General features: G+C 38.4%; 1 annotated feature.

Annotated features, from left to right (window-relative positions):
- Positions 1157 to 1657: an enhancer, noted in NCBI's record as "H3K4me1 hESC enhancer chr10:111560913-111561413 (GRCh37/hg19 assembly coordinates)". NCBI's record gives its function as "activates a minimal SCP1, AML or CMV promoter by ChIP-STARR-seq in naive H9 embryonic stem cells {active_cell/tissue: H9 hESC(naive)}" and the evidence as "EXISTENCE:reporter gene assay evidence [ECO:0000049][PMID:30033119]".

The raw sequence follows: 8474 nt of genomic DNA, 5'->3' as shown, positions 1-8474 counted from the left end.
TACCTTGATGCTCTAACACTGTCAGGTGGGGTGTTGAAGTCTTCCACTATCATTGTGTGGTTATCTAAGTTTCTTTGTAAGGTCTCTAAGAACTTGTTTTATGGATCTGGGTGCTCCAGTGTTAGGTGCATGTATATTTAGGAAAGTTAAGTCTTCTTATTGAATTAACCCTTTATCATTATGTAATATCCTTCTTTGTCCTTTTTTTATTATTGTTGGTTTAAAGTCTGTTTTGTCAGAAATAAGAATAGCAAGTCCTGTTTTTTTTTCCATTTGCTTGACTGATCTTTCTCTATCCCTTTGCTTTGAGCCTATGTGTGTCATTGTATGTCAGATAGGTCTCTTGAAGACAGCATATAGTTGGGTCTTGCTCCTTTATCTGACTTGCCAATCTGTGTCTTTTAAGTGAGACATTTGGTCCATTTACATTCAAGGTTAATATTGATATGGGAGGATTTGATTCTGTCATTGGATTGTTAGCTGGATGTTATGTAGACTTGATTGTGTAGTTGCTTTATAGTGTCAGTGAACGGTGTACTTAAGTGTGTTTTTTCATGGCAGGTAACAGTCTTTTGTTTCCTTGTTAAGCACTCCCTTAAGGATCTCTTGTAGGGAAGGTCTGATGGTAACAAATTCTTTTAGCGTTTGCTTATCTGAAAATTATTTATTTATTTATTTATTTTTGCATATGAAGCTTCGTTTGGCTGGATGTAAAATTCTTTTACATCAATTCCATTGTATCTATATGCCTATTTTTTTCTTAATTTTACCTTGGGGTTAATTTGCTTTATTTTTTTCTACTTTCTTTAGATGGAAATTTAGATAATTGATTTTTATACCTTTATTCTTTTTTAATGTAAGCATTTAAGGTTCTAATATGTTCTATAAACACTTCTTTAAATGCATCATACATATTTTGATATGCTGTTTTAATTTTCATTAAAGACTAACCTAACACTAACCCATATTTAGAGATCACTGCAAATCCAGTGCTTTCAACTGGTTCTTTGCTAAAAAGAATTGCTTCTTGGTATCAACATTTTTCATTTTTAAGTATTTGTCCACTGAAAGCAGTTAAAAGAAGAGGTCCAGATTACTTGCCTTTGGCTCTAATATTATGTAGAACTGTATGTTTAAAAATGACCAGAGAAAAACCTACAACTTCTAGATAATGTTACCTTTGTGGACAGATAATTTAATTTTATCCATGGTTAAAATTTAGAAATGATTTATTATGTCATAAAGAAATTTGAAAATTATGGTCAAGAAGATGGCTGAATAGGAACAGCTCCGGTCTACAGCTCCAGCGTGAGCGACATAGAAGATGGGTGATTTCTGCATTTCCATCTGAGGTACCAGGTTCATCTCACTAGGGAGTGCCAGACAGTGGGAGCAGGTCAGTGGGTGCGCGCACCATGCGCGAGCCAAAGCAGGGTGAGGCATTGCCTCACTTGGGAAGTGCAAGGGGCCAGGGAGTTCCCTTTCCTAGTCAAAGAAAGGGGTGACAGACAGCACCTGGAAAATCGGGTCACTCCCACCCAAATATTGCGCTTTTCTGACGGGCTTAAGAAACGGCACACCACGAGATTATATCCCGCACCTGGCTCGGAGGGTCCTATGCCCACGGAGTCTCGCTGATTGCTAGCACAGCAGTCTGAGATCAAACTGCAAGGCGGCAGCGAGGCTGGGGGAGGGGCGCCCGCCATTGCCCAGGCTTGCTTAGGTAAACAAAGCAGCCGGGAAGCTCCAACTGGGTGGATCCCACCACAGCTCAAGGAGGCCTGCCTGTCTCTGTAGGCTCCACCTCTGGGGGCAGGGCACAGACAAACAAAAAGACAGCAGTAACCTCTGCAGACTTAAATGTCCCTGTCTGACAGCTTTGAAGAGAGCAGTGGTTCTCCCAGTATGCAGCTGGAGATCTGAGAACAGGCAGACTGCCTCCTCAAGTGGGTCCCTGACCCCTGACCCCTGAGCAGCCTAGCTGGGAGGCACCCTCCAGCAGGAGCAGACTGACACCTCACATGGCAGGGTACTCCAACAGACCTGCAGCTGAGGGTCCTGTCTGTTAGAAGGGAAACTAACAAACAGAAAGGACATCCACACCAAAAACCCATCTGTACATCACCATCATCAAAGACCAAAAGTAGATAAAACCACAAAGATGGGGAAAAAACAGAACAGAAAAACTGGAAACTCTAAAAAGCACAGTGCCTCTCCTCCTCCAAGGGAATGCAGTTCCTCACCAGCAACGGAACAAAGCTGGATGGAGAATGACTTTGATGAGCTGAGAGAAGAAGGCTTCAGATGATCAAATTACTCTGAGCTACGGGAGGACATTAAAACCAAAGGCAAAGAAGTTGAAAACTTTGAAAAAAATTTTAGAGAATGTATAACTAGAATAATCAATACAGAGAAGTGCTTAAAGGAGCTGATGGAGCTGAAAATCAAGGCTTGAGAACTACGTGAAGAATGCAGAAGCCTCAGGAGCTGATGCGATCAACTGGAAGAAAGGGTATCAGCAATGGAAGATGAAATAAATGAAATGAAGTGAGAAGGGAAGTTTAGAGAAAAAAGAATAAAAAGAAATGAGCAAAGCCTCCAAGAAATATGGGACTATGTGAAAAGACCAAATCAACGTTTGATTGGTGTACCTGAAAGCGACAGGGAGAATGGAACCAAGTTGGAAAACACTCTGCAGGATATTATCCAGGAGAACTTCCCCAATCTAGCAATGCAGGCCAACATTCAGATTCAGGAAATACAGAGAACACCACAAAGATACTCCTCGAGAAGAGCAACTCCAAGACACATAATTGTCAGATTCACCAAAGTTAAAATGAAGGAAAAAATGTTAAGGGCAGCCAGAGAGAAAGGTCGGGTTACCCTCAAAGGGAAGCCCATCAGACTAACAGCGGATCTCTCGGCAGAAACTCTATAAGCCAGAAGAGAATGGGGGCCAATATTCAACATTCTTAAAGAAAAGAATTTTCAACCCAGAATTTCATATCCAGCCAAACTAAGCTTCATAAGTGAAGGAGAAATAAAATACTTTACAGACAAGCAAATGCTGAGAGATTTTGTCACCACCAGGCCTGCCCTAAAAGAGCTCCTGAAGGAAGCGCTAAACATGGAAAGGAACAACTGGTACCAGCCACTGCAAAATCATGCCAAAATGTAAAGACCATCGAGACTAGGAAGAAACTGCATCAACTAATGAGCAAAATTACCAGCTAACATCATAATGACAGGGTTGAATTCACACATAACAATATTAACTTTAAATGTAAATGGACTAAATGCTCCAATTAAAGACACAGAATGGCAAATTGGATAAAGAGTCAAGACCCATCAGTGTGCTGTATTCAGGAAACCCATCTCATGTGCAGAGACACACATAGGCTCAAAATAAAAGGATGGAGGAAGATCTACCAAGCAAATGGAAAACAAAAAAAGGCAGGGGTTGCAATCCTAGTCTTTGATAAAACAGACTTTAAACCAACAAAGATCAAAAGAGACAAAGAAGGCCATTACATAATGGTAAAGGGATCAATTCAACAAGAAGAGCTAACTATCCTAAATATATATGCACCCAATACAGGAGCACCCAGATTCATAAAGCAAGTCCTGAGTGACTTACAAAGAGACTTAGACTCCCACACATGAATAATGGGAGACTTTAACACCCCACTGTCAACATTAGACAGATCAATGAGACAGAAAGTCAACAAGGATACCCAGGAATTGAACTCAGCTCTGCACCAAGCAGACCTAATAGACATCTGCAGTACTCTCCACCCCAAATCAACAGAACATACATTTTTTTCAGCACCACACCACACCTATTCCGAAATTGACCACATACTTGGAAGTAAAGCTCTCCTCAGCAAATGTAAAAGAACAGAAATTATAACAAACTGTCTCTCAGACCACAGTGCAATCAAACTAGAACTCAGGATTAAGAATCTCACTCAAAACCACTCAACTACATGGAAACTGAACAACCTGCTCCTGAATGACTACTGGGTACATAATGAAATGAAGGCAGAAATAAAGATGTTCTTTGAAACCAACGGGATCAAAGACACAACATACCAGAATCTCTGGGACGCATTCAAAGCAGTGTGTAGAGGGAAATTTATAGCACTAAATGCCCACAAGTGAAAGCAGGAAAGATCCAAAATTGACACCCTAACATCACAATGAAAAGAACTAGAAAAGCAAGAGCAAACACATTCAAAAGCTAGCAGAAGGCAAGAAATAACTAAAATCAGTGCAGAACTGAAGGAAATAGAGACACAAAAAACCCTTCAAAAAATTAATGAATCCAGGAGCTGGTTTTTTGAAAGGATCAACAAAATTGATAGACCGCTAGCAAGACTAATAAAGAAAAAAAGAGAGAAGAATCAAATAGACGCAATAAAAAATGATAAAGGGGATATCACCACCGATCTCACAGAAATACAAACTACCATCAGAGAATACTACAAACAACTCTACACAAATAAACTAGAAAATCTAGAAGAAATGGATAAATTCCTCAACACATACACTCTCCCAAGACTAAACCAGGAAGAAGTTGAATCTCTGAATAGACCAATAACAGGATCTGAAATTGTGGCAATAATCAATAGCTTACCAACCAAAAAGAGTCCAGGACCAGATGGATTCACAGCCGAATTCTACCAGAGGTACAAGGAGGAACTGGTACCATTCCTTCTGAAACTATTCCAATCAATAGAAAAAGAGGGAATCCTCCCTAACTCATTTTATGAGGCCAGCATCATCCTGATACCAAAGCCGGGCAGAGACACAACAACAAAAGATAATTTTAGACCAATATCCTTGATGAACATTGATGCAAAAATCCTCAATACAATACTGGCAAAACGAATCCAGCAGCACATCAAAAAGCTTATCCACCATGATCAAGTGGGCTTCATCCCTGGGATGCAAGGCTGGTTCAATATATGCAAATCAATAAATGTAATCCAGCATATAAACAGAACCAAAGACAAATACCACATGATTATCTCAATAGATGCAGCAAAGGCCTTTGATAAAATTCAACAACCCTTCATGCTAAAAACTCTCAATAAATTAGGAATTGATGGGATATATTTCAAAATAATAAGAACTATCTATGACAAACCCACAGCCAATATCATACTGAATGGGCAAAAACTGGAAGCATTCCCTTTGAAAACTGGCACAAGACAGGGATGCTCTCTGTCACCACTCCTATTCAACATAGTGTTGGAAGTTCTGGTCAGGGCAATTAGGCAGGAGAAGGAAATAAAGGGTATTCAATTAGGAAAGGAGGAAGTCAAATTGTCCCTGTTTGCAGACGACATGATTGTATATCTAGAAAACCCCATTGTCTCAGCCCAAAATTTCCTTAAGCTGATAAGCAACTTCAGCAAAGTCTCAGGATACAAAATCAATGTACAAAAATCACAAGCATTCTTATATACCAACAATAGACAAACAGAGAGCCAAATCATGAGTAGACTCCCATTCACAATTGCTTCAAAGAGAATAAAATACCTAGGAATCCAACTTACAAGGGATGTGAAGGACCTCTTCAAGGAGAACTATAAACCACTGCTCCAGGAAATAAAAGAGGATACAAACAAATGGAAGAACATTCCATGCTCATGGGTAGGAAGAATCAATATTGTGAAAATGGCCATACTGCCCAAGGTAATTTACAGATTCAATGCCATCCTCATCAAACTACCAATGAATTTCTTCACAGAATTGGAAAAAACTACTTTAAAGTTCATATGGAACCAAAAAAGAGCCCGCATCACCAAGTCAATCCTAAGCCAAAAGAACAAAGCTGGAGGCATCACACTACCTGACTTCAAACTATACTACAAGGCTACAGTAACCAAAACAGCATGGTACTGGTACCAAAGCAGAGATATAGATCAATGGAACAGAGCAGAGCTCTCAGAAATAACACCATATATCTACAACTATCAGATCTTTGACAAATCTGAGAAAAACAAGCAATGGGGAAAGGATTCCCTATTTAATAAATGGTGCTGGGAAAACTGGCTAGCCATATGTAGAAAGCTGAAACTGGATCCCTTCCTTACACCTTATACAAAAATCAACTCAAGATGGATTAAAGACTTAAACGTTAGACCTAAAACCATAAAAACCCTAGAAGAAAACCTAGGCAATACCATTCAGGACATAGGCATGGGCAAGGACTTCATGTCTAAAACACCAAAAGCAATGGCAACAAAAGCCAAACTTGACAAATGGGATCCAATTAAACTAAAGAGCTTCTGCACAGCAAAAGAAATTACCATCAGAGTGAACAGGCAACCTACAAAATGGGAGAAAATTTTCACAACCTACTCATCTGACAAAGGGCTAATATCCAGAATCTACAATGAACTCAAACAAATTTACAAGAAAAAAATCAAACAACCCCATCAAAAAGTGGGCGAAGGACATGAACAGACACTTCTCAAAAGAAGACATTTATGCAGCCAAAAACACATGAAAAAATGCTCATCATCACTGGTCATCAGAGAAATGCAAATCAAAACCACAGTGAGATACCATCTCACACCAGTTAGAATGGCAATCATTAAAAAGTCAGGAAACAACAGGTGCTGTAGAGGATGTGGAGAAATAAGAACAATTTTACACTGTTGGTGGGACTGTAAACTAGTTCAAACATTGTGGAAGTCAGTGTGGCGATTCCTCAGGGATCTAGAACTAGAAATACCATTTGACCCAGCCATCCCATTACTGGGTATATACCCATAGGACTATAAATCATGCTGCTATAAAGACACATGCACACGTATGTTTATTGCGGCATTATTCACAATAGCAAAGACTTGGAACCAACCCAAATGTTCAACAATGATAGACTGGATTAAGAAAATGTGGCACATATGCACCATGGAATTCTATGCAGCCATAAAAAATGATGAGTTCACGTCCTTTGTAGGGACATGGATGAAATTGGAAATCATTTCTCAGTAAACTATCACAAGAACAAAAAACCAAACACCGCATATTCTCACTCATAGGTGGGAATTGAACAATGAGAAGAACACATGGACACAGGAAGGGGAACATCACCCTCTGGGGACTGTTGTGGGGTGGGGGAGGGGGGAGGAATAGCATTGGGAGATATACCTAATGCTAGATGACGAGTTAGTGGGTGCAGCGCACCAGCGTGGCACGTGTATACGTATGTAACTAACCTGCACATTGTGCACATGTACCCTAAAACTTAAAGTATAATAATAATAAATAAATAAAGAAAGAAAGAAGAAAAAAGAAAATTATGGTCAAGATAGGTAGTTGCTTACTTTAATCCATAGTTTATAATCTTACTCAAAGTAATTGTTGAAATATATTATATTTTAGAATCCTGTCAATTAAATTTGATCTGTGAAAAGTTAATTGACTAGGTAAAAAATATTCTGTATTAAATGACAAAGGTGGTAATGGTGGCTGAGAAAAAGGAAGGAAGAAGAGAAGTAAGAGAACATGAAAAACAATTCAGTCTCTCAAAGGGGGAGCAGAAATAAATGACTATGGGCAGCATCTTGTGACTGTCCCATATAAATAGCTTATATAACTTTTAAAAATTAAACTTATAAAGTTTTATATATAAATAGATATAAAAAACGTGCACCTTACTGTCAGATCAATAAATCTTCATACACTGACACCTCTATGTAACAACAACTCAACATTTTTCTCATTTCTTTTGTGATTTCTTCTTTGACACATAGGTAATTTAGAAGTGTGTTATTTACATTTTAAATATTTGGAGATTTTAAAGATTTTAAAAATTATTTTCTAATTTAATTCTATTATGATCAGAGAACATACTTCAACTTCAATTTAAAAAAATTTATTGATACTTGTTTTATGGCTTAGCATCTAGTCTATTGTGCTGAATATTACATGTGAAATTGAAATAAGAGCATTGTCGCACCCCAGGAATCCTCTTGTGCACCTTTCCGAGTATCAGTGCTCAGGGAAAAACCACTATCCTGACTTCTGACAGCATACATGAGTTTATTTTTGTGCTCTATATTAAGAGAAGAATATAGTGTATACTCTTTTGCATTTGGCTCTCTTAACGTTATGTTTCTGTGGAATTTATCCATAGTTCATTATTTCATTCTCATTGTGTATATGAATACCATATTATATGAATGTAATATGTATATAATATTTATAGATATATAATATAATAATATGAATATAATATATTATATTATAATTGTAGTGATATGGTTTGGCTGTGGCCCCACCCAAATCCTAAGTTGAAGTGTATCTCCTGGAATTCCTATGTGTTGTAAGAGGAACCCAGGGGAGGTAACTGAATCATGGGGGCTGGTCTTTCCTGTGCTATTCTTGTGATAGTTAATAAGTCTCAAGAGATCTGATGGGTTCATCAAGGGTTTCTGCTTTTGCTTCCTCCTCATTTT

The sequence above is a fragment of the Homo sapiens genome, chromosome 10, assembly GCF_000001405.40.
Source record: "Homo sapiens chromosome 10, GRCh38.p14 Primary Assembly".
NCBI classification, from domain to species: domain Eukaryota; kingdom Metazoa; phylum Chordata; class Mammalia; order Primates; family Hominidae; genus Homo; species Homo sapiens.
Note: the sequence above shows the minus strand (reverse complement) of the source record. Positions and strands in the feature narration are given on the sequence as shown.